General features: G+C 54.4%; 1 protein-coding gene and 1 long non-coding RNA gene across 2 annotated transcripts in view, besides 6 other annotated features; one reads left to right on the top strand and one right to left on the bottom strand.

Annotated features, from left to right (window-relative positions):
* NOL4L (nucleolar protein 4 like) overlaps window positions 1-25,167 on the top strand; it is a 142,275-nt gene that overhangs the window by 8,848 nt on the left and 108,260 nt on the right. The window lies entirely within an intron of this gene.
* Window positions 920-1,875: an enhancer, noted in NCBI's record as "H3K27ac-H3K4me1 hESC enhancer chr20:31162413-31163368 (GRCh37/hg19 assembly coordinates)". NCBI's record gives its function as "activates a minimal SCP1, AML or CMV promoter by ChIP-STARR-seq in primed H9 embryonic stem cells {active_cell/tissue: H9 hESC(primed)}" and the evidence as "EXISTENCE:reporter gene assay evidence [ECO:0000049][PMID:30033119]".
* Window positions 920-1,999: a biological region, named in NCBI's record as "Sharpr-MPRA regulatory region 4335".
* Window positions 1,705-1,999: an enhancer, noted in NCBI's record as "tiled region #4335; HepG2 Activating non-DNase unmatched - State 8:EnhW, and K562 Activating DNase matched - State 5:Enh". NCBI's record gives its function as "activates a minimal TATA promoter and a strong SV40 promoter by Sharpr-MPRA in HepG2 and K562 cells {active_cell/tissue: HepG2 | K562}" and the evidence as "EXISTENCE:reporter gene assay evidence [ECO:0000049][PMID:27701403]".
* On the bottom strand, window positions 2,195-15,393 carry NOL4L-AS1 (NOL4L antisense RNA 1). Its single transcript, NR_199031.1, has 3 exons — window positions 15,307-15,393; window positions 3,974-4,098; window positions 2,195-2,854 (listed from the first exon to the last, which is right to left on the bottom strand). It is a non-coding gene; the product is annotated as an NOL4L antisense RNA 1 (long non-coding RNA).
* Window positions 5,381-6,105: an enhancer, noted in NCBI's record as "H3K4me1 hESC enhancer chr20:31158183-31158907 (GRCh37/hg19 assembly coordinates)". NCBI's record gives its function as "activates a minimal SCP1, AML or CMV promoter by ChIP-STARR-seq in primed H9 embryonic stem cells {active_cell/tissue: H9 hESC(primed)}" and the evidence as "EXISTENCE:reporter gene assay evidence [ECO:0000049][PMID:30033119]".
* Window positions 12,506-13,047: an enhancer, noted in NCBI's record as "H3K4me1 hESC enhancer chr20:31151241-31151782 (GRCh37/hg19 assembly coordinates)". NCBI's record gives its function as "activates a minimal SCP1, AML or CMV promoter by ChIP-STARR-seq in primed H9 embryonic stem cells {active_cell/tissue: H9 hESC(primed)}" and the evidence as "EXISTENCE:reporter gene assay evidence [ECO:0000049][PMID:30033119]".
* Window positions 13,965-14,616: an enhancer, noted in NCBI's record as "H3K4me1 hESC enhancer chr20:31149672-31150323 (GRCh37/hg19 assembly coordinates)". NCBI's record gives its function as "activates a minimal SCP1, AML or CMV promoter by ChIP-STARR-seq in naive H9 embryonic stem cells {active_cell/tissue: H9 hESC(naive)}" and the evidence as "EXISTENCE:reporter gene assay evidence [ECO:0000049][PMID:30033119]".

Genomic DNA, 25,167 nt, shown 5'->3' with positions numbered 1-25,167 from the left:
TTCCTCGCTGCCCTTCCTGTACAGCAGCTGCAGCCTTCCCCTTCCTCGGCCACACCTGAGAGTCACTTCCGACCCCTTTCTCTGACCTCCTCTCCCTCCCAATCCAACCCATTTGCAAATCCTGTTGGTTCTACCTTCAAAGCACATCTCAAATTCTACCATGTCTCATGGCCTCCACTGCCTCTAGCCTGGTCCAAGCCTGGAGAGGTGGCTGCCTCTCCCCGGGGCCCCCTGTGTCTACCCTGTTCCCTGCCCACATAACCCCTTCTTCCCACAAACAGCCAGAGGAAACCTTGGAAACCCCAAGTCAGGTTCTCTCCCTCCTCTGTCCAGAACCCTCCAAGACTCCTGTCTCACTCAAAGCAAGAGCCAAGGCCTTCCCAGTAGCCTGCAGAGCCCTGCGCGATCTGGCCCTGGCTGCCCACTGCTCTCAATTCCCTCTCGCCTCGTTCATTTGGCCTCAGCCACACTGGCCTGTTTGCTATTCTCCAAACACGCCAAATACAGTCCTGCCCCAGGCCCCTTGCACTGGCCTTCCTCTAGCTTGGAATACTCTTTCTTCAGATCTCTGCATGGCCAGCTCTTCTCCCTCTTCAGGTCTTTGGTCAAATGTCACCTGCTCAGAGAGGGCCTCCTTGATCACCCAGTGAGGCCCACCTTAGATCCCTTGGACCATCTCCCATCTCTCTTTTCTACTTGATTTTTCCTCTGTGGCCCTTATCCCTGCCTGACATTATGTGTATTTCACTACTTTCTGTGCTTAGGATCTGTCTCCTCCAAGGCCATGAGCACTAGCAGGGCGGACTGCGTCTGTGTTTTTTTGCTGCCGTGTCCCCAGGACCCAGACCAGCCCCTGCCCTTAAGGGGCTCCCCACTGGGCAGGGTGGTTCAGCAGATGTCTCAGAGCCGGGTTCTGAGAACTGCCTAGTTCTACACAGAGGCCCTGAGCAGCCCCAGGGCGCAGACCCACCCTCCCACGGGACAGGGCCTGAGAAGTCCTTGGGAAAGTGACATTTCACCTGGACCTTGAAGTCCAAAAAGAACTTTTCAGCAAGAGCAGAGCATAGGGAAGCTCATTCCGGGGGGTGGGACTGGTTTTGGCGGGGTCAGCGTGGGCGTTGTACGACGGATCCCAGGGCCAATTTTCTTAGAGAAGCATGTTTGGAAGAACATTCTAGATGGAGTGGAGATGAGTAAATGGCCAAGTCAGCTTGAGAACCACAGTGGGGTCCTGAAGGGGTGAGCTGGCAAGATTGGTTGGGGCCAGATGGAGGAGAGAGATCTGAAGAGCCCATCGCATCAGGCACAGCAGGGAGCTCACAGGAGGGTTCTCACGTGGAGGGAGCTAAGGTCACGTTGGGGTTTTAGAAGGAACGCTCAGATTCTGTGGTGAGAGGCAAGAGGGCGATGGAGAAGGAAAACCAGGCAGAGGCATAGTGAGGTGAGGGGAGAAAGGCGTGACGGGTTTCCTCGACGGACCAGCGGTTGAGTGGCTGGGGCTAGGTGAGGTGGGAGTGGGGTGAGGGAGGCTAGAGGGTCGCAGGCAACCCTGGGATTCGTGGGTGGGAAGAGTGGTTTAGGAAACCGGGGTGCAGATCTGGGGTGAAGGCGCAGGGGCAGGATCTGGGGCACAGCATCCAAGGGTGTCCGGTAGGCTGGCAGCCTGTGGCGGTGGGAGGCCGTGGAGGGGACCCCGTGACTTAGGCCTCGGGGCCAGCGCGGGAGTCATCGTGTTACCCGGGCCCCCTCTCCAGCTTGGAGCCCTCCCCTCCCGGCTGGGACCCGACACAAGCTCCTGGGAGGCCTCTGCTTGGGTGGATGACTCATCGTTTTCTCGGCATCCCCGGGCTGAGGAAATGTTCAAGGAGACATGGGGCCCTTCCTTCAGCAGGCCAGGCCCTGACTGGATGCTGGCGAGTCGAGAAAAACACAATCGGGCCTCCGGCCTTGTCTGAGGACAGCCCTCAGGGGTGTTTCCGAGAGCCCCTGGCTTCCACAGCCTTGCACAGTCCTCAAGCACCCTGCAAGGCTGTGTTATGACCCCATTCTACAGGTTAGCAAACCAAGGCACAGGCTCTGCTGGGCCCCCAGCTAAGCAACCACTGGGTGCCTCAGTTTCTTCGTCTGTAAAATGGGTGTGATGATTGCCCCTCCCCTGCAGGTTGTTGGGAAAAACTAAAGGCAAGAATCCATGTGAAATGTTTAACTCGTGGGATTGTCATTGTCATGAGGATGTGAAGAGGGGTCTCCCCGGGCAACAGGGGCTCTTGACTGGGCAGAGCCACTGTAGGGACATCCAGAAGGCGGTATGGCCAAGGACAGTCCTGCATTTGGATCCCAACTCTGGCAACAGCTGTGTGGTTCTGGGCAAATGGCTTGCCTGCTTTGATCCCTGACCCCTTCTGTATAAGGGGGTGATAAAACCCGTACCCCAAGGGGTAGCTGGGAAGATGGCATAAAACCAAGCCTGCCCGGTGGGCCACAGCATAGGGGCTGCTGCTCCATCTTGGGGTCTCTCAGAGCAAAGATCCCAAAGCCAGGCAGCTGTGAAGCTCCCAAGGGTGGCTCCGAGGCTCTCTGTGGGGTGATAGGGAAGCCTGGGCTGAGGGGAGAGAAGAAGGGAGGCAGCTCAGAGGGCTCAGGCTGGGAGGCTCCATGGAGGATGGATGTTCTCTGGAGGTTGAGGTTGAGACAGGAGCAGGCTAGGGGTGAAAGGCTTTATGTTGATTCGAGGCCCCTGCAGGTCAGCAGAGCAGTGGGGGTCTGGAGCCAGGGGCTGGGTCCAGGTTCTGCCGCTTACTGCTGTGCAGTCTTGGGTAAGTTACTTCCCCTCTCTGAGCCTCAGTTTCCTCATCTGTAAAATGGGATGACAATAGCTATGGATTCAGTTATATCCTCCTTCTATGCTATTGTATAGAAGTATCTATACCAAGGTGTGGACAGTCAAGCCCTCAATGAAAGGAAGCTGTGATCGGGATTGTGACTGAGATGGAATCAGTAACCCTAGAAGCTGTGATGAAGCCAGGTGAAGCAGTGCCACCGAGTGGGTCTCTGGAGCTCAGACTGGCCGGGGTTTCAGTGGATCTCTGTGACTCATGAGCTGAATGACCTTGAAGCAAGTTGCTGCCCCTCTCTGAGCCACAGTTTTCTCATCTGTAAAATGGACCCAGGCCAGGCACAGTATTTCATGCCTGTAATCCCAGCATTTTGGGAGGCCGAAGTGTGAGGATTACTTGAGCCCAGGAGTTTGAGACCAGCCCTGGCAATATAGTGAGACTGTGTCTCTATAATAACTAAAAAAACTTAGCTGGGCATGGTGGCGCCATGCCTGTGGTCCCAGCTACACTTGAGCCTGGGAGGTTAAGGCTGCAGTGAGCCGTGGTTGTGCCACTGCACTCCATCCAGCCTGGGTGACAGCGAGACCCTGTCTAAAAAAAAAAAAAAAAGAAAAGGATGCGATAGTATGACCTATCTCTCAGAGCTGCCTTGGGGAGCTGAAGAGAGACTCCATGTCAAGTGCTCAGCATCGGAAACAAGAACTGCTCTCTGCTTATGCCTGTGGCGTGGCCAGTGGCAGTGAGACCTTACGGACATGGAGTCCGGGGCAGGGGATACTGGAGCAGAGAGCTGCAGAAGGGGCAGTGGGCAGAGGTAGAAGGGAAGCCAGAGCCTGTGCAGGGAAACTGGGCTGGGGGGCTTCCAGGAGGGTAGTAGTCAGCTGGGTTTGCCTCCAGGATTGACAGGGCCCCAGCCCCCAGATCTGGAGGAGAGGGGGCCTTGATGGAAGCCAGAGGTCAGAGGGACGGCGCCAAGCCAAAGGTGGTGGGAAGTGGAGGCCGGGAGTCCTGCTGCTCCAATCAGAGGCTGGTCATCGGGGAGGAGGGGCGAGGGGCAGTGGGCTCCACGGAGTTCAGGCTGTGCATTACAGGACTGAGAGCGGGAACAAGAGCCCTGGGTTCGAATCCTGACTCACCAACTGGCTTGGATCCATCTTAACTTCTTCCATTCTCACATCTGTAAAATGGGGAGAGCAACGTCAGCTACTTCTTCCAGTTGCTGTGGGGAGAATCTGGAATACATGAAGTCCTCAGTCCGTGTCTGCTGTGGAGTGAGAACAATGGCAGTCATGACACAGCCAGTATTGCCCAGTGCTTAGGAAGTGCCAGGCCCTGTGCTAAACACTTTATGCACACGACCCCATGTGATTGTCCAAATTTGGTGGCCGCTGGGATCCTTATCTCGCCAATGGAGATTCGGAGGCTCAGATACGTTAAGTAAGATGCCCAAGAGCACAAAGCTGGGAAGAGGCAGACTACAGACTCCAGCTAGCACAGGGAAGGGTTGTGTCCTCAGCTCCTTAAATCGCCATCCTTCTGACAGCAAGGCTTAGATTCTGGGATCCTCTGTGGTGTTACCTGGTCTTGGATGGTGGTTCATCCCAGGCTGGGGAGTTGGGTGTGAATCTGCCTGGCAGAGGGTGCCAACCTTGGGATATTAGGCACAAGCAGGGTCTGTTGGTAGGGTTCACCCTCAGGGATCCCCCAAAGATTCTGCAGTTCAGGGAGAGTACCGAGTAGCATGGAGACCCACAGCCAACCGCTGGCCACTCCACATCAGCCGAGGCTGGGAGAGCCTCCTGCCGGCTCCTGTGAGACCAGGCCTCTGCCCTCAGCGGGTGGGGCCTAAATGGGGAGGTGCAGCCCCACACCCAGCCCAGGCCAGCTACCAGCTGCCCCAAGAGCAGACGTGTGGCCAGTGCATGATCTTGGGCAGCCTCCTGAGGGGTTAGGACAGGGAGAGAGTGCCTTGGTGGCTGGGGAGGAAGCACGGAAAGCCTCTTGTGAGGAAGGAAACGGTGCCATGGGGAGAGGAGGAGATAGGCCTCCTAGGAGGGGCAAGGTGGGTGAAGGTGCACGAAAGAGGTTTGTTTTATGGCAGTACACGCACATGATTTAAAACCCAAACCAAAACCGGCAGTTGGCCGGACATGGTGGCTCACACCTGTAATCCTAGCACTCTGGGAGGCCGAGGTGAGTGGATCACTTGAGGTCAAGAGTTTGAGACCAGCCTGGCCAACATGGTGAAACCTGGTGAAACAAAAAACAAACCATCTCTACTAAAAATACAAAAATTAGCCAGGCGTTGTGGCACACGCCTATAATCCCAGCTACTTGGGAGACTGAAGCAGGAGAATCTCTTGAACCTGGGAGGCGGAGGTTGCAATGAGCCAAGATCGCGCCACTGCACTCCAGCCTGGGCGACAGAGCGAGACTCCAACTAAAACAAACAAACAAACAAAAAAACCCCCACAATAACAAAAAGCAAACCAGCAGTTCCCTAGGACCTGATAAGTGGCCATCCCATCCCATTCCCTGCCCGCTGGTTCCCCTGCCTGGAGGAGTCCACTCCCTTCTGTGCCCAACATACTTGGCTCTGGAGTGGGGTTCCTCAGTTTGAATCCTGAATTCACTGCATAGTCGCTGTGTGGCTTGGACAACTTGCTGAAGTTCTCTGTGCTTCAGTTTCTACATCCAAAAAAGTGGGAGTGCTAATGGGACCTGCTTCCCTGGAGGCTGTAGTGAGCATTGAGGGCTTCTTAAGGGTCGTGGTTGAGTGCTCGGTGAGTGTTGGCCATCATCACTGTGGCTGCTGTTGTTATCATTATTGTTATTAATTATTATTGTGCATATATAGCTAAGCATGCCCTGCTTGCAGTTTTAAATGCCCAGCTCCCTGTGCAGGTCCTAAAGCTCAGTTTTTGTCTATTCAGGAAAAAGAGAGGCAGAGGTAAGAAGTCAGCCCAGGGTCAACCCAGTGGCCCCAGACCTTGAGACGGGCCTCTGGTGTGGGCGGGTTTTCTGGACACCCGCTGGGCCCCAGGAAGTAGCTGCTGCTGCTTACAGGGCTCGTGGTTTGGGAACTCAATCCCTGCGCCTGTGCTGGGTACACAGGGTGACTGTGGGGACAGGAGGGGGAAGGGTACTATGGAAAGAGCCCTTGGCCAGGCCCCAGAAGATGGGGGCTCAAGGCCTTCCTCCGCTGCCCCTTTGGGGTACCATTCTTGGAAAGGTTCCCAAGCTCCAAGCCTTTGGGTTCCTTATTGGGAAGGCAGTGCCATTCTCTGAGCTGCTGTGGACAGCCAACGCAGCGCCTAAGATGTGATGGAGGATTGGGGTTGTTCATCAGGGACCCCAGGGATCCCTGCCCTCAGGAGGATTTACAGTTGAGTTGGGAATGACGGTGTCATTGATAAGATCCTGATTCAGGAGGTATTAACATGTAGCTGAGAAGAACCCAGCCCTGGGTTCGAATCCTGGCTGTGCTGCCTAGTAACAGAGTGACCTTGGGGAAATTAATTAACCTCCCTTGGCCTCAGTTTCCTCCTCTGTACAATGGGCCTAGCAATAGAACCTGCTGTTTGGGGTTGTTTCATGCTGGTAAGAGACTTAGCTCAGGGCCTGGCTCCTGGCAAGGCTCTGCGATCCGATCCACAGCAGTTGTAATTATTTTAAGGAACTCAGACTAACACAAGAAACTACCGGCAAATGATACAGGGCTGCAGGCAATCCATTCATTCATTGATTTGTTCAGCACATTTTGATTGGTGCCTGCTATGTACCAGGTCCTGTCATTCATTCCATAAAGATTGCCAGAGCACCTACTCTTTGCTAGGAGCTGTGCTAGGTACCGCCTCTGTGGTGGTGAACAGGACTTGATCTCTGCCCTCTCAGAGCTGGGAGTACCAGGTACCCCCCTGGCTGGAGGTCAGGGGCAGCCTAGGGGCTGGTGTGCTCTCCAGCTGGTTGGCTCAGGAAGCCAGCCCCTGTCCTGGTTGTGCCAGGCTTGCTGAGCTCCAGGAGGTGGCTTCTGCCTGGAGTCCCCCATGCCAGCCCTGCTGCCCTAGTGTCTGGCTCCTCTGAGCCCCCCTTTCCCAGGAAGTAGTGCTCTAGGGAGTGCGGGAGTGCAAGGCCTTTTCCATCACTACCTCCTACCCCAGCTCTTGTCACCTCCTCCCCAGCTGTAGCACTCATTGTCCTCCCTGTTACTTCCGCCCCGCTTCACACTGTGGCCAAAGTGCTGTGTTAAAAATGTAAACCTGACCATGTTCCTTCTCTGTTCAAAACTCTCCTGTGGCTTCTCATCACTCTCTGAGCAAAAGTCACCATGACCTGCAAGGCCCAGCTCTGGTCCCTCTTTCCAGTTCCTTGGCCCCTGCTCACTTTCCTTCAGCCACACTGGCCTCCTGGCTGTTCCCCTGGACGTCACTGAGCTCTGCTGAAATGTCACCTCCTCAGGGAGGCCCTCCCTGATTGTCTTTTCAAAATGTCGTTGGTTCCTATCACTCTCAAGCCCCTTACACTAACTTTGGAGCCCTTATGAACATCTGACAAAGCTGTGTTTTTGTGCGTGTTCCTCTTGGGCTCCATAAGGACAGGAATATTTGCTGTCTGGTTCACTGCTGAGTTCCTAGCACTCAGTGTATATTTTTTAAATGAATGCCTCAAGCCTTGTCTTTATCCATTTTGTGCCTCAGTTTTCTCCTTTGCAAAATGGAGAAGCAGAGCTGTTGTGGGGCCAACATGAGGGCTGGTGAGATGGCCAGGGTCCCCCACACAAGCAGCCTGCAGTCCCATCAAGGGGGGTCCGACCTACCCAACAAGCAGGCTCCTCCAGTTCCAGGACGGAGAGACTCAGGAGCCTGGCAGGGTCAGCAGGGCTGGGTCATCATGGGCCTCAAGCCCCATCAAGAGGATTTCCACTTTCTCTGGCCATGTTGGGAAGCCCAGGTCGGGCAGGGGCACAGGCGGTGGAAAGGAGGGAAGGAAACTGGCTTGAAGGGAGGTGCAGGGCTGGGGAGATATGGCTGGATGGCCCCATAGTGGGGCCCCAGAAAGCCAGATCTCAGGGATTGGGAGCCATTGAGTGTTGTAGAGCAGGAAGAACATGGGGAGGGAGGTGTTTAGGGAGTGAGTCTGGTCCAGTGTGTGCAGAGCAGAGACTGGAGTCTGAGGTCCAGGGAGGCTGTAGGCTCTAGGGGGCAGTGCCCTAAATGGGAGCAGATTTACTCCCATTTAGGAATGAGGGGGAGGGGCTGGAGGGGTGAATCTGAGTCTCCTCCTCATCAGCTGCTTTGCCCTGCACAAAGAACTGTTCATCATTCATTCACTCATTTATCCATTTAGCAACCTGGAGAGGGCCTCCTGGGGTGCACTGTTGAGACCCATAGATGTGGTTCTTGCCCTGGCAGAGTTCAGGGCATATTGTGGGGAACGGATGCTACATGACACAGTTATGGTGGTGGTGCTGATGGTGGTGATGGTGTTGGGGATGGTGGGGATGGTGGTGAGGATGGTGATGGCCGTCATGATGATGATTATAGTGGTGATGGTAATGGTAACAATAGTGGTATTAATGGTGATGATGGTGATGATGGTGACGATAATGTTGATGTGGTGATGATGGTGGTGATGATGATGGTGATGAATATGGTGATGATGGTGACGATGATGGTGACGATGATGGTGGTGATGAAGATGATGGTGATGGTGATGATGATGATGATGGTGGTGGTAATGATGGTGATGAAGATGATGGTGGTGGTGGTGGTGATGACAATGGTGGTGTGATGGTGATGGTGGTGTGTGTGATGGCACACACCAATGATGGTGATGATGGTAGTGTGTCAGCTCATGTTTATTGAGTACTCAGTGGGTGCCAGTCTGTTCTAAGTGCTCTGTGTGTGTTTGCACATTGGGCTCCTGCAGCAACACTGAGAGGCACTGAGATCTTATGCCACTTGCCCAAGGGCCCCTGTGAGCAAAGGGCAGCACCCAGATGTGCGCTCAGGCAGGCGGCTGACCAGCAGCTGCTCCCAGCTATGGCCACCTGCCACTTCCAGCAGGCAGTTTCCTCCCTCTGTGGGGGACTCAGCACAGGGGAAGTGTATGAGTCTGACTTGCCAGAGCAGAGTTTGAGGTCTGGTTTTGCCCAAGTAAGTTTGGACAAATGGTGCCCTGGCTCCTCTGCCCTCAGCACCTTGTCTGTGAAAAGGGAGAACAATCCTCCATGGAGGCCACCAGGAAGGCAAGGAACTGCCACCTCGCCATGGCAGCTAGTGTGTCTGGGGCAGATCCCGTTCCCTAAATCAGGAGGAAGAAAGAAAAGAAGGCTCTGTTCTCAGCCTTGCCTCTGGGAACCGGGATGGAGAGTGGGGCAGGTGGGAAGCCAGGGTCTCTTGGAAGGACACATTCTACACACCCACATTGCTGTTTCCCTGACGCAGCCCCAGGGCGGAGGCTGTTCTCCCACCCATTGTTGGCTCCCAGATCTCTCAGGAGGGGAAGGAGGCAAGGACCCAGGCTCCTGCACCCCTGATTCTAGCAAAGCCAAGCTGATTCCATGCCAGTAAAGAGAGGGGACAGATGCCCAGGGCTGGGCAGAAGGCCAGGACACAAATGCTGCCCCTTCACTTCCTGTGCAGCCTGGGGCCCACCAGCTTTCCTCTCTGGGCCTCAGTTTGATTCACTTGTTCAAATATTTGCCAAGCATCTGCTCTGTCCTAGACACTCTACTCTGGAGGCATAAACAAAATCCCTGTCCTCATAGAGCTGACGTTCTAGGGCAGGCTGACAGTACCCAATAAACAAGGAACAGGCCCACTGTGTCAGACGCTGGTAAATGCGTGGAGAAAAGTAAAGCAGAACCAGGGGAACTCAAGGGGTTGGAGCAGGAGGTGTTAGAATTTTAAACAGGGTGTCAGGGAGGGCCTCAGTGAGAGGCCTTCAGCTATAAAATGTGACATTTTGAGCAGAGCCCCGTAGGAGCAAATTATACGGGAATTGGGTGGAAAAACATTCCAAGTAGAGGGAACAGCAAGTGCAAAGGCCCCGAGGCAGGAGTGTGTCTGGTTGGTTTGAGGAACTGCAAGGAGGCCAGTGTCCCCAGCTCCTCCCACCCCCTGTATTTGGGAATCAAAAGACCACATTTTACTCTGCAGGACCTTGAGCCTCAGAACAAAATGATTTCTGAGCCCTCGTAGCCTGTCCCCACGGGAGTCAGTGATGCCAACCTTGTAGGTGGGGCTGGGGCAGGTGCCTTGCTGCCCATATCTTAAAAGTGCTGAGTGGGTTTGAAGACCCATGGGGACTTGGAAAAGAGGCTACTATCATCCAGCTCCTCACCCTGAGTGACGGATTCGCAGATGGCCCTGGATTCGAATCCTGGGTCCACTGCTTTCCAGCCATGTGATCTTAGGCAAATCACTCTCTGAGCTTCAGTGTCCTCAACTGCAAAACAGGGACAGGAGTTTTGCAGCCCATAGAACCGAGTTGCAATGGGACTTACAGAGACCACTCTGGGAAGCATGTGTGTAAGTGCCCAGCCTGAGGCCTGGCTTATAGGAGCTTCTCAGTAAATGTTTATTTTTATTTGCTTACTTTTTAAGACAGGGCCTTGCTCTGTTGCCCAGGCTGGAGTGCAGTGGTGCGATCACAGCTCACTGCAGCCTTGACCTGGGCTCAAGCATCCCACCTCAGCCTCCCGAGTGGCTGGCACTACAGGGCACATCACCACACCCAACTAATTTTTTTCTTCTTCTGTTTTTGTTTGTTTGTTTGTTTTTAGAGACGGGGTCTTGCCATGTTGCCCAGTCTGGTCTCCAACACCTCAGCCTCCCAAAATGCTCAGATTACAGGCGTGAGCCACTGTGCCTAACGTTTAAAACCAGAACCTAACAACTTAACATTCTGGTATGACTCTGAATTGTTTTCAAAGCTGTTGGAAATTTGTCCTATCACTTGAGTCTTCTAAGAACCCCATGAGGAAGATGGAACAAGAAGTAATAGCCCCAGTTTACAGAGAGGGTAAGTTGAGGCCTGGAGAGGATGTGTGACTTGCCCAGGCTGACAGTGAGGCAGGGCTGATGGAGGGCTAAGACCAGGCTGTCCTGGTTCAGAGAGCCCAGGGGGTGCGGGGCAGGAGAGATCGTCCAGTGCCCTTACACCCCCTACCATAAGCAGCCCCATGCATGCACCTCCTGCACATGTGTGCTATGCAATAATAGCGCCTTGCAGATTTGTGGTCCCCGACCAGGTTTTGTAAGGCACAGCTTGGTGGGACAGGAGGTCTGTTGTAAGGATATTGAAAGGCCCAGAGCCTGGGGAAGCTCAGGCCGCAGGCAGGCAGAGTCTGGGGCAGGTCTCGGCGAGAAGAGGAAGAGGTACCTCACGTGACCGTCCACTCGGCCTGTGTGTCCATCCGGTGTCTGGCCTGGCTGGGCTGGGAGGGCGGGGTCTCCAGACTGTTCCCTCAACAGCCTGGCCCCCAGTGCCTTGTCATCCAGATGCACGCCCCTGTCAGCTTCTCTGAGCCTCAGGACAGCTCTGTGAGGGGCTGCACATGAGGAAGCTGAGGTTGAGAGAGGGGCACGCCTGGTGGGGCTTGGACCCGGGCCTGCCTAATCCCAAGCCCCAGGGCGCTAGTCACAGCTCAGGCAGATACTGGCAGGTGGGCTTCGTGCAGGCGGGCCCCCTCCTCCCTGGGCCAGCCTTCCTGGCCACGGCCCAGCCTCCCAGCCCTTGACAGTGGGCCCTGCCCACAAGTCTCTGCTCCTTGGTTCCTGCAGCCTGAGCCTCATCTCACAGGGCTCCTGGCCCCAGGCTCTAGCCGCACCTGCTTCAGCCCCCCGAGGCACTGGGCTGCTGGACCCCTCGAAGGAGCAATCAGGGAGCCCACCTTTGTGCAGCACCTTGAAGGGCCAGACATACTTTCCCCAGTGCCCACACAACTCGGAGATTCCTAGCCCATTTTACAGATGAAGAAACTGAGGCACAAAGAGGGAAGATTGTGTCCTGAAGCACACAGGACATACGAGGCAGAGCTGGGACTCCAAAGCCCAGCTTCTTCCATTCTGTAGCTTTCTGCCCTCAGTTTCTTCTGCTGCAAAATGGGAGCCTTAAACTAGACAGTCTCAATTTAGATCATAGAATAGTACAAGCTCAGCAGCGAGATGGGCTGAGTTCTAATCCTGGCTCCTTCATGTCCTACCAGGTGGCCTTGGGCAGTTGCTTCATCCCTGTACCTCAGTTTTCTCCCCTGTAAATGGGGCTGAGAGCGGTATCAACCCATGAGCGGCTGTGAGGTTCTGTAAGCAACACACGCAGAGCGTCCAGAAGATGCTGGAACGTTCGTGGGAATCATCCGCTTTTTCAATCGTTAGCTCCCTGTACACCTCCCCTGCAGTGCTCTGAAGGATGACAGGGCCACGTTAATGGTCTCTTCTGGCCTTCCTGGGGCGCGGCCGGGTGGCCTACACCGAACAGAGACTGTGTGGATGTGTCATGGGGACAGACAGACATCCTGGGGCCCGCCGTGGTGGATGGCAAGTGGCAGGGAGCTCTGGATGTGAAGCTGGCTCAGGCTGCACCGGGCAGCCAAGGGCGCCTTTGTCCCTTTGTCTCCTCTCGTGCAAATTAGCAATTACCTTTCCTGCTCCTGCAAGCTCGGCCTTTCCTGGGAGAATTGCTCCAAAGCAGCCACTGAGCAGGCAGGAGCCGCCTGGCTAATTAGCAGGTGGCTGCCGAGGATACGCTTAGGGCCCAGTGACCAGAATTGGGGCCACAGCTGCCTGGGGGCTGCTGCCACCTTGGCCGGGAGACCAGGCAATGTCCCAGGCTCTAGGACGTCGTGGCTTTTCCATCATGGGGTGTAAGTCCTAGCGCTATGGCTTGTCAGCTGTGTGACCTTACATAAGTCACTTGGCCTCTCTGGGCAACAGTTTCTCCATGTTTAGGATTATGTGGGTTTTGGAGCCCAGTGCCTAAATGGTGCCCGTTATCAGCCAGTGTTAGGATTACTGCCGTTGTCACCACTGCCATTGCCTTGGGCCTGGGCTGGCTGGCTCAGGTGAGAGAACATGAGGAATATGCAAGCCCTGTGATGGCCCTTGGGGACCCCAGAACGTCACCTGAGCAGCGCAGGCAGTGGAAAAGCCTAGCTAGGCCTCAGGCCCTTAGGCAAGAGGGAGCCTTCATCTCTCCAACCCTAATCTCCTTTCGGTCCTCTATGAAATGGAGTCATCGAGATACTGGTTGGCCATGTGCCTAGAATAGGGCCTGACCCAGGGCAGGTATTCAGTAAAGGTGAGGCTCGCTCCCTCCCTCCCCTTCACCCTCCCTGTTCTCTACCCTCCCTCCCCACTCTCCCTCCCGAGTCTCCCTCCCCACCCTCCCTGACCTCCACCCTCCCTCCCCACTCTCCCTCCTCACTCTCCCTCCCTCCACCCTACCTGCCCTCCACCCCTCCCCACTCTCCCTCCCTCCACCCTCCCTGCACTCCACTCTCCCTCCCTCCAGCCTCCCTGCCCTCCACTCTCCCTGCCTCCACCCTCCCTCCACCCTCCTTCCCCTTCACCCTCCTTCCCCTCCACTCTCCCTCCTTCCACTCTCCCTCCCTCTACCCTCCTTCCCCTCCACTGTCCCTCCCCTCCACTCTCTGCCCTCCACTCTCCACCCCTCCACTCTCCCTCCCCACCCTCCCTCCCCTCCACCCTCCTTCTCCACTCTCTCTCCCCTCTACTCTCCCTCCCCTCCACCCTCCCTGCCCTCCTTAGGAACACAGTAGCTTCTGGAGCAACAGCGTGGTGGAAGGGCTGTCAGCCTGTGGCTTGGGGTGATCAGGGAAAGGCCCCTCCTGCAGGAGCAGAATGGGGAGGGCCGAGGGCTGTGGATGCTGAGTGAGAAAAGGAGTGCCAGCCGGGAAGCTGTGGAGGTCAAGGGAGGGCAGAGATTCCAGAGATAGGATACCAGGCCGGGAGCATTCTCCCTGCTGGCTGGTGACTCCGGGGAGGAGATCTCCCAGGGCTACCCAGAGGGTAGGGAGCAGAGGAGTCCCTGGCTTGGCCTGGAGTCTGGGCTGGGGAGATTTTCTGGCAGAGTATACCCTAGGGCTGAGGCTCACCAAGGGGCTAAGCAGAGGGTGGGTGTCCCAGGTAGAGGAGACAGCCTGTGCAGAGGCATGGAAGTGTCATTTAAACCTGAGGTGGGCGGAGCCATAGCACACAGGCCTCTAGTGCCCAGCAAATCAGCCTGGATTTTATCTGGGCACTGGGGAGCCCAGGAATGTTTGGGGCAGGCGGCGTTGAGGTCTGATTTTCAGGGTCAGCGTTCAGCACTGCTAATCGGGGAGGTTGAGATAGTGGCTGAGACAGTGAAGCCGGAAGCCTGATGGGCGGGTGGGGGGTGGAAGTCAATCTGACATCTCATGCTCCCCAGTGTCACTAGGCAAATGCCATTCCTCCTGGAGCCTCAGTTCTGCCTATGGCCAGTGAGTGGACTGTGGACTTCCTGCCTCCCTGAGTGCTTAGGGTGAGAATGAAATAGTCCTGACGGCATGCCTGGAGCCAGGCACCCCATGGCCCTCGGAGTAAGCGCGCCTGTGGTCTTTCATTGAGCACTTGCTATATGCTAGATATTTTATTTATTTATTTGTTTATTTTTTTGAGGCAGAGTCTCACTCTGTCACCCAGGCTGGAGTGCAGTGGCATGACCACGGCTCATTGCAGCCTCAACCTCCCAAGCTCAAGCGATCCTCCCACCTCAGCCTCCCGAATAGCTGGGACTACAGGCACGTGCCGCCATGCCCAGCTAATGTGCTAGGTACTTTACACGAATTATATTGTTTGATTCTCATAACCACCCTTTTAGGTCCTCCCCATTCATTGAGGAGAAAACTGAGTCACAGGGGAGACAAATAACTTGCCCAAGAGACAAAGCTGGGATTTGGGCCCATGCTGGGGTGACCCCAGAGTCCTCACTGTTGCTCCTCCACACTCCTGTCCCCAAGCCCAACCCTGGCTGGGGCGTGGCCCCATCCCCAGCCAGTTCCCCAGGGCCCAGTTAATCCCCTCTCAGGGCCACCGGCATGAGAGCCAATTAGTGCCTGCTGTGCTGGGGGCACCACACCTGTCCCCTGCTCTGGGCCCCCCAGAGGCCCAGCCCTGCCCAGATCCTTTGGGCACACCCTCGGCTCTGGAAGCTGATGCTTCTTGTATTGCGCCATTAAGAAAAAGGACTCAGCCTCGTTTTTTGTCAGGGAAGCTTGGGGAAAATAAAGCCAGTGAGAGAAGCATTCCAGCGTCGGGATTTTTCCAAGCCTCGGCTGGGCCGCCCGTGGAGCGCTGACTTCCCGCTGCAGGTTCCCCTCATCCTCCCGGCACCCACCTACCTCCCCACCCGCAACCAGGCCCCAAGGGCCCCCATGGTCCCTGGTGACAGGGGGCTGCTGGTGGGGTTGGCTGCGGTTTCTCACCTGCGTGCAGGGTCTGGCTCCATCGTGAAAGGAGGAAGAGGGAAAAAAAGGTCCTTGAGATGGTGACAAAGGTCTGAGTGTGGGCCGCGAGAGCAGCCTGTTTCCAGGCAACTGCTATACCCTGGGCTCCCCGCGGTGGCGGGCACATCCGTCATGCCGCCGTGGCTCTGCTCGGGAGGGAGTTGGGCCCCCCCAGCAGCCCAGGCACACTGCCCACCGCCCCCAAGCTCCGGCCCTGCTGGGGACATGAGGCCCCTCCGGCAGGCACTGCGTGAGAATGCCCAGTGTTCTTGTGGCCGATGCTGGCTAAGCTCCTACTGGGTGCCCAGCCTCAGGCCTGGTGCAGGTGGGACAGAGCTGTCAATCATCAGTCCCATCCGTCAGTCTGTCCGTCCCCCATCCAGCCGTCCAGGATAGAACTGTGGTTTGGCGCACAGGTTCTGGAGGGCTGGGTTGAAACCCACTCCACCAAATCCTTGCTGTTTGTCCTTTGGTGCATTGCCCCACCTTGCCAGCCTCAGTTTCTTCATCTATGAAATGGATATAATAACAGTTCTTACCTCATAGGGTTGTTGGGAGGATTAAATCACTTAATATAGGTAATGCCTTAGGCACAGTGCCTGCCACATATTAAATGCTTGCTAAATGTTCATTGTTTCTCTTTTTATTATTAATTGTTTGTTAGGTGACAGTTGGGGCAGCGGGTAGCATGCCATCTGTGGCAATCAGGTAGACCTGGGTCGGGGGTGAGTTTGTCCCACTTTGAACCGTATGACCTTAGACAGGTGGCTCGGCCTCTCTGAGCCTCAGTTTCCTCTTGACTACACTGGGGAAATAATAGCTCCCTTGACACGCTCCCCTCCTCAGCCTAAGTGTGAAACCCCATCTCTTGTCGGGAGGATTAGTGGTGTCCACGTGTGCCAGGGCCCCACCCTGGCCACACTCAGTACTCAGAATGGTCATTATTCAGCAGGCCACGATTGGTGCCCACTGGGTGCCTGTGTGACGGGGCTGGGAGAGGAGTCAGGCCTGGCAGGGCGTGGCCTCACCAGTGCTCCCTTCCCCTGCCTTGGGGCTGCCCAGCCCTGCCCCCCATCCTCCAGCTCCTTTGTGAAAAGAACCTCTGCGAGTGCCCTGGAGCAAGAGGAGGAGGAGGACAAGAAGGCAGCCCGAGTGCCAGGGGGCCGGGCACACCGCCGCCTTTGTCTGGGCCACCCTGGAGGCAGAGGGAGGCTTGGTCTCCCAGGGCAGGCCACACTGCTGGCCTGCTGGCGGCTCAGGGAGGCCGCGTGGGCGGCAGGGCCTGGGCAGGCCTGGGCTGGCCGTGGTCCCTTGGGACAGCTTGGCCCACTCAGGCGAGAGGGATGCCCACGCCTGGGAGGAGGGCGGCAGCCAGCTCGGAGGTGACTGTGTCCTTCTGGGGCCCGTTACAGACAAACCTCAGTACCTACTAAGTGCCAGGAACAGTGGCAGCCACTGGGCCCTCAGAACTAGGCCATGCATTCCAGTCCTGGCGCCTGGGGGCCTGGGTTCCAATCCCTGCTCCGCTATTTGACAGCTGTGTGGCCCAAGCAAATTCCCTCCCCTGTGTAGGCCTCCATTTGCTGATCTGCAAAATGAACGTAATAACATTCCTACCTCAAGTGCTCCGAGCAGTGCCGGGAACAAAGAGAGCTCCCAGTAACTCTGGGCAATTTGTCATTGACTCTGCCCTTGAGGAGAAAGGGCTGAATGTTTATCGAGTTCCTACTGTGTGTTAGACTCTGACCTGAAGAGAATCCAATTCAAGAAATATCTGCTGAGTACCTACTATGTGCCAGCATCTAGGCTGGGCTTTGGGGATACCTGGATGCAAGACCTGAGGCAGGGGTGTGGGGATAGAAGGAAAAGGAAAGGGAAGGGAGGTGAGGTATGAGGTCCTACTACGTGCCAGGCTGTTTGCTGAGCACTGGGAGTCCAGAGAGGAAAGCAGTGGCCCCTGCCTTCATGATAGGGAAGGACAGAAATCCAGAACCCGATGATTATGACCCAGGGTAGTCCCGTGGGGGATGCCTGGGGGCCAGGGAAGGCTTCCTGGAGGAGGTGATCTGGAATCTTGGGCATTGCGGCCACACTACAGCTCTCTTCTACAACAGCCCCATCATGTGATCTGGCCTCAGTTTACACATCTGGAGATACGGGACACACTATCCAAGGAGGAATATACTTTTTCCATCTGCAATCGGCTCACCTTCCCTTGCACTGGTTCTCGGCGGCCCCTCCGCTGCCCCTGCTCCGGTCCAGGCTGCAGTGGCTCTTGCTTTGGCCTGCTGGCTCCCTCTCTCCATCCAGCAGCCAGAGCGATCTTCCGAAACGTAAATCACACATCATCAGTTCCTAGCCTAAAACCCTTCAGGGGCTCCCCAGGGGCTCTTAGGACAAAGACCAGACTCCATACCACAGCCTGCAAGGCCCGGCCAGGCCCAGCACCGCTGACCCTCTGGCCCCACCAGTCAGAGGAAAGGGCCACAGCCAGGCCAGATCCTCCACCTGCTGGTGCAGCTGGAATCCTCCGTTACGGCTGTCAGGGGATGAGTGGTGTGGGGTGGTGGGGCGGCCGTGTACCCAGCCGGCTGTGTGATCTCAGCATACAGTCCCTTTCCAGAACCGTGAGTCAGTTTCTTCATTGGTAAAACAAGAGGGCTTCAGCGGTGATGCCCTCAATAGTCTCATTCAGGGTGCTGGGGCCCCTTGGACTTTTGTGAGCTTGCCCCCCTACACACACCCTGGGGCTCCCATGACGGAATGTTTCATGCCCTCCCCAGATCTGATCAAAAGAAGAGACCAGCAAATCAGGGTTAGATTACGATGCGGATTTCAGCAGCTCTCTTGATCGTGAGGAGGAACTGAGGCCCATAAGTTGAAGTGACCCTTCCTGGGCTCCCACTTTTAGCCAAGCTCCTCTGTGGCCAGTTGTCAGTTGTCAGCAGCAATGACACAGGGCAGTGGCACTGGGAATCCCTTAGGAGAGGTCGTGCAAACTCGGGAAGCTGGGGATTTTAATCCCTTCACTTGAAATCTAGATTTTATTATTTTTAATTTCAACTTTGTTTAAATATCAGTGCATTCACATTATTACTGTTACATTGAGACACGGTTTCATTCTGTCACCCAGGCTGGGGTTCAGTGGCATGATCACAGCTCACTGCAGCCTCCACCTCCCCAGGCTCAAGTGATCCTCCCAAGTAGCTGGGATTACAGGTGGGTGCCACCATGCCTGGCTACTTTTTATATTTTTTGTAGAAACAAGGTTTCACTATGTTGCCCATGCTGGTCTCAAACTCCTGAGCTCAAGTGATCCACCTGCCTCAGCTTCCCAAAGTGCTGGGATTACAGGCATGAGCCACCGCGCCTGGCTGTGTTCACATTATTTAAAATGCAAAAGTTTAAAAATACAAACTTTTTCTTTCCCCCAGCCATTCAGCTTCCTTTCCAGAAGGTTCCCCTGTGACTGGTTTCTTGCCTGTCCTTGCAGAGATATTTGATGCATGTGTAGGCAAAAGCTGGTGTGCAAAATTCATTTTTAGCGCTAGGAGGAACTAGTCATTGTCTGAGTTTGCCCCCTGCCCACCATTAACGGCTTGCATGAGGTTGCAGAGCTTGGCAGTGGGTAGAGCCCTCCGCCATCCTCTGCCTGCTGGAGCACTGGGCATGCCCAACCGAGGAGACTTGGAGAGGCTGGCTGGGGCTGCTCTGACTTTGCTGCACAGGAGGCCAAGGAGGCTTCTGCCTTCAGAGCGTCTCTTCTGTATAAGCAGTAAATAGGGACCAAGGAGATGTTGAGAAAGTTCTAATTAGCTACAATGAGCACTTGCAGCACCATCACAATGCAAGTGATAAGGAGGCTTGGTGCTGGGACTCAAATCAATGGGACTCCAGGGGCAATGGGACTGCAAGGGCAGGACGGTAGCGGGGAGGCTGCTTCGTGGCCAGGGCAGGGATGCGTGAGGGTGGACCCCACTTTATGCAATGAGCTCAGCAGTTTGACCCTGCTTTATGTAGTGGATAGGCTCTGTGTTACGGGTTTCACAAACGTTGTTTCAACCCACACATATCCCCACCAGGTAGAACCCCCTGTAACAGCTGCAGAAAAGTCCTAAGGAGACGGAGTTCCTTGGCTGAGATCACAATCACATGGCTGGATTTAAAATCGGGTCTACCTGATTCCTAGGATTTCCCACCCTGCTTTGCATCAGGAGCTCGATCAATATCACACAAGCTGCCTCCTGCATAGTCACGTCGCTGGTGCAGAAGGAGCAAGGTGGCCGTGTGGCGAGGCACTGTGGCTCCGGCACGTCCAGCTCTGGCTCCACTGTTAACCGGTTGTGTGGCCTTGGGCAGGTCACGTGCTCTCAGTGGCAGAGGCCCAGGACCTCTGCCAGGCCCACCTCGGCTCAGACCCGACCTGCCCAGTGGAATGAATGGAGGAGGTAGAGCAGTTTCCCCTGGGGCTGAGGACACTTGTGTCACCAGATGCCTTCGCTGATATGCCTGGAGATGGGACCAGGCCAGAGTTGAGATTCACAGATGGACCAGCCTCTGCTCGGCTGTGTGACTTTGGGCCACTCTCTCTCCCTTTCTGAGCCTCCGCTTCTAGTCTCTGGGCCCCCGGGGATGAGCTTTTGGAGAAGGGAAATTTGGAGTGTAGCCCTTAATAGCTGGCAGGATTTGGGCAGGGCTGGAATGGGGGATCAGGAAGAACAGGGTTCAAGGAGGGACAGAGACAAGTAGCAGAGGACGAGGCACCTTGTCTTTTGCTGACTTCAGGAATGAGTTTCACATTTTTCAGCAAGGATTTGATTTAAAGTTGCTGGACAAAACTGAGCCTGACAGAGCTGAGGGGCTCCAGGGAAACCCCCCCCCCCCACAAAGGAAATATTTGCTGAAGAAGAGGATTGAAGTTCAAAAGTTCCAGAAGCCTTGGTGGTGCTGTTTTGGTCGGGGAATAGAGACACAGAGGGAGGCAGGAGAGCTCCCGAGGCCGCAGAGCCTCTCTGGCTCTTCCCTTCTCATCTCACTCCGCATGTATTTAGGGGGGGCCTACTATGCACCTGGCACTGTGCAGAGACCAAGGCAGACCCCGTCTGTGCCCTTGTGATTGTCACCATCTATGGAGGACACAGCCATTAACCAAATGATCACAGAAATACGCAGAATACTGTGGTCATGAGAGGCGCCGTGAAGGAAAGAGCATTCACAGGGTCTCAGCTTGGGTCTGGAGGGTCAGGGAGGGCTTCTCGGAGGCCACCTAATGAGTCTGCTGGGGCTGCCGTGACAGAGTAACAGACTGGTGGCTTAAACCACTGACATTCTCACAGCTCTGGCGGCTGGAAGTTCAAAATCAAGGTGTCAGCAGGGTTGATTTCTTCTGGGGCTTCTCTTCTTGGCTTGTGGACAGTCACTTCTCTCCGTGTCTTCTCATGGTCTCTCTGTGAACGTCTGTATCCTAATCTTCTCTTCTTGGGAAGACATCATTCCTATTAGAGTGCGGCCCACACTAAGGACCTCATTTAACTTAGTCACCTCTTGAAAGGTCCTGTCTTGGCCAGGTGCATTATCACTCCTGTGACATCCTAGCACTTTGGGACTCTGAGGCAGGAGAATTGCTGGAACCCAGGGGGTTGAGACCATCCTGGGCAACATAGTGAGACCTCATCTCTATGAAAAAAAAAAATTAGCCAGGCATGGTGTTACATGCCTGTAGTCCCAGCTACTTGGGAGACTGATGCAGGAGAATCACCTGAGCTCAGAAAATGGAGGCTGCAGTGAGCACTGCACTCCAGCCTGTGCAATAGAGCAAAACTTGCTCTCAGAAGAAATTTAAAAATTTTTAAAAAGGTCCTATCCACAAATACAGTCACATTAACAGGGGTCAGGACTTCAACATATGAATTGGAGGGGGCACAATTCAGGCCGTAACAGACAGTAACACTCGAGCTGAGGCCTGAAGATCAAGTAGAAGTTAACGTAACACCAGGAAAGAAAGGGTGTTTCAGGCAGAGGGAGCAGCCTGGGCAGAGGCCAGGTGCTGAGAGGGGGCACATGGTGCAGATGTAGCTGGGGGAAGCCAGCATGGTCAGGGTACAGGGAGGCCACAGAGTGGGGTTCAAGAGGAGGCCAAGGAGGCCACATCCCAGTTTGGCTGCTCCATTGCTTTGTTACTGGATCCATTTCCAGTCCTTGGTTTCCTCATTGGGGAAACAGGAGTAATCAAAGTTAGCCTTTTGGGGCTGGGAGCTGGAATGTGGTCACATACTTCTAAAATGTCTTGCCCCATGCCAGCTCCTAGTAGGTGCTCAAGATGAATTAGTTGTCCCTTTCTCCTCCCTTCCTGGACCACCTTTGGTCTCCCTAGCCCCTTCCTTGTCCCCTACCCTGATTTGGATGACCTGGCTTGAAATCCTGAGCTCCAGAGCCAATGACTCTTGACAAACAGTATTGTGACTCATCAAGGCCCTCTGGGCCTCCTGGGAGGCAAGGAGAAAAGGAGGATTTCCTGGGGGGTTTCCCAGGAGAGGGTGCCTGCTTCTGAGTGATACAGGACCAGGGGTGGATCCTCAATGAAGCATCTGAGCCTCCTATGATATTTGGGAAGGAAAGCTCCACCCTCCCCCCACACAACATTGTCCTTTATTGCAAAAGAAATGGATCTTCAGTGACAGGGGCCTCCTTCTCTTGGGGAGGTGTTTGCTGGGTCTCTCTGCCCATGAGCCACTTTCTGTTTGGCTGTGCAGCCTGTGACAAGCGCCTTCACCTCTGAGCCTGTTTGTTCATTTGCACTTACATCCAATACATTCCTTTTTTTTTTTTTTTTTTTTTTGAGGCAGAGTCTCACTCTGTCGCCCAGGCTGGAGTGCAGTGGCGCGATCTCGGCTCACTGCAAGCTCTGCCTTCCGGGTTCATGCCATTCTCCTGCCTCAGCCTCCCGAGTAGCTGGGACTACAGGCACCTGCCACCACGCCCGGCTAATTTTTTGTATTTTTTAGTAGAGACGGGGTTTCACCCTGTTAGCCAGGATGGTCTCGATCTCCTGACCTTGTGATCCGCCCGCCTTGGCCTCCCAAAGTGCTGGGATTACAGGTGTGAGCCACCGCGCCTGGCCACATCCAATACATTCTTAACATTTCAGCAAATGGTTTATTGTAGGGTCAGTTTAGATTTACAGTTACAAAGTTGCAAAGATAGTCCAGAGAGTTCCTGTCTACTCCTTACCCACTTTCCCCTGTGGTTAACATTTGATGTTACTAAGGAACCCATCCAGGCACGTCACTATTAACTCATACTTCTTTTTATTTCACTAGTTTTTCCCTAATGTAAATTTTCTGTCCCAGGATCCAACCACAATACTACGTTACATTTAGCTGTCATGTCTCCTTAACCTCCTCTGGTCTGTGACAGTTTCATAAGACCCAGTTTTATTTTGACAAATATTTCTGAGCACCTACAACGTGCATTGATCTGTTCTTGGTGCTAGAGAAAGAAACAGAATCCCATCTTCCACGGAGCCTGTATGTTTGGGGGTGGGGAGACAGACCATGAACCCTAAATGTAAATGTTAAATATATAGAAAAATAAAGCAGAGAATGGGGCTAGGGCTGGGGGCTGCTGCTTGAGATAGGTGTGGGGAGGCCTCCTGTTCCCAAGGAGACATGGGAGCAGAGACCCACTGGAGGTGAGAGAACATCCATGTGGGGATCTGGTGGGAGAGGATTCCAGGAAGAGAAAAGGACAAGTGCAAAGGCCCTGCGGCAGGAAGTGCCTGGTGAGTAGCGCCAGGAGAAGGCCAGTGGAGTGGGCTGGAGCCCTGGGTGTGGGGGTGAGTGGTGAGAGGTGAGCACAGATCTGTGTGGGTTACAGACTGGGGTTGGGGGTGAGGGTGGAAGCTGGGAGGAGGCTGCTGCAGTGATCCAGGTGAACCAGGGAGAAAGGCTGGTGGCCTGGACCAGAATGGTGCCCATGGTGGGGTGAGAAGTGAGCCGATTCTAGGCCTGTTTTGAAGGGCGCGCCACAGGATTTGCTGGTGGAAATGGGGCGGTGCTGAAACCTTCTGGCAGGGCCTGTGTGAGGAATCTGAGGACGGTTGTGAGCAGGCTTGGCACACTGTAAAGTAGGATTCCTCAGGGGATCTCCTATGCTCTCAGAGCCACCAACCAAGCTCATCCTCTGGCTGAGGGCCAGTGAGTAATCTTAGCTTCCTGCAGCCTCCGCCCCCAGATTCAAGCGATTCCCCTGCCTCAGCCTCCCAAGTAGTTGGGATTACAGGCATGCGCCACCATGCCCGGCTAATTTTTGTATATTTCAGTAGAGACTGGGTTTCACCATGTTGGCCAGGCTGGTCTCGAACTCCTGACCTCAGGCAATCTGCCCGTCTTGGCCTCCCAAAGTGCTGGGATTACAGGCGTGAGCCACTGTGCCCAGCCAGAAAAAGGTGTTGTTTTGTTTTGTTTTGTTTTGAGACGGAGTCTCTCTCTTGTCGCCCAGGCTGGAGTGCAGTGGCATGATCTTGGCTCACTGCAACCTCCGCCTCCCAGGTTCAAGTGATTCTCCTGCCTCAGCCTCCCAAGTAGCTGGGATTACAGGCGTCCACCACCATGCCTGGCTAATTGTTGTACTTTTAGTAGAGACAGAGTTTCGCCATGTTGGCTAGGCTGGTCTTGAACCCCTGACCTCAGGTCATCCGCCCGCCTTGGCCTCCCAAAGTGTTGGGATTATAGGCATGAGCTACCGCGCACTGCCAGAATTTCATTATTAAAAAAAAAAAAATTAATCAAGTACCCGTAGACTGTTAAAAAGAAAAAGTCCCCTTTCTGGCCCTGCCTGCCAGTCACCCTGTTCCTCTCCCCGGGCGAAATCACTGTTATTTCTTGGGTATCCTTTCAGAGATATTTTATACATATATATGCACATATGCATATCTATTTCTGGGTTTTGTTTCTAGTTTTACACAAAATATGTTGTACATTGTTCCATAGGTTGCTTTTTTTAATATAATAGCATTTTTTTGAGATATAATTCACATGCCACACAATTCACCCATTTAAAATATGATTCAGGCTGAGCATAGTAGCTCATACCTGTAATCTAGCACTTTGGGAGGCGAAGGCAGGAGGATCACTTGAGCCCAGGAGTTCAAGACCAGCCTGTGCAATATAGCCAGACCCTGTCTCTACAAAACATTTAAAAAATTAGCTGGGCATGGTGGTGTGTACCCACAGCCCCAGCTACTCTGGAGGCTGAGGTGGGAGGATCACTTGAGCCCAGGAGTTCAAGGCTGCAGGGAGTTATGATTACACCACTGCATTCCAGCCTGGGAAACAGAGTGAGACCTTGTCCCTAAAAAAAAAATAATAAATACAGTTAAGTGACTTTCAGTATCATATATTCAGAGATGTGCAACCATTGCCACAATCAATTTTAGAACATTTGCGTCATCCCCAGAAACCCCCCATACCCCTCACTCCTCATTTCCTCTTGACCCCCTCCCCCAGGTAGGGAGACAACCACTACTGTGCTTTCTGTCTCTTTAGATTGGCCTTTTCTGGACATTTCCTATAAGTGGAATCATACAATACGTGGTCTTTTGTAATGGATTTCTTTTACTTACGTTTTCGGGGTTCATCCATGTTGTAGCATGTATCAGTACAGTCATGCACCACTTAAAGACATTTTGGTCAACAATGGACCACATATATGACAGTGGTCCCATGAGATGAGGATGATGCTCACGATGATGATGATGATGATGATGATGATGATGATGATTTTGAGACCGAGTCTCACGCTGTCGTCCAGGCTGGAGTGCAGTGGCATGATCTTGGCTCA

The sequence above is a fragment of the Homo sapiens genome, chromosome 20, assembly GCF_000001405.40.
Source record: "Homo sapiens chromosome 20, GRCh38.p14 Primary Assembly".
Lineage (NCBI taxonomy): Eukaryota > Metazoa > Chordata > Mammalia > Primates > Hominidae > Homo > Homo sapiens.
This window is presented reverse-complemented; position numbering and strand designations above follow the sequence as displayed.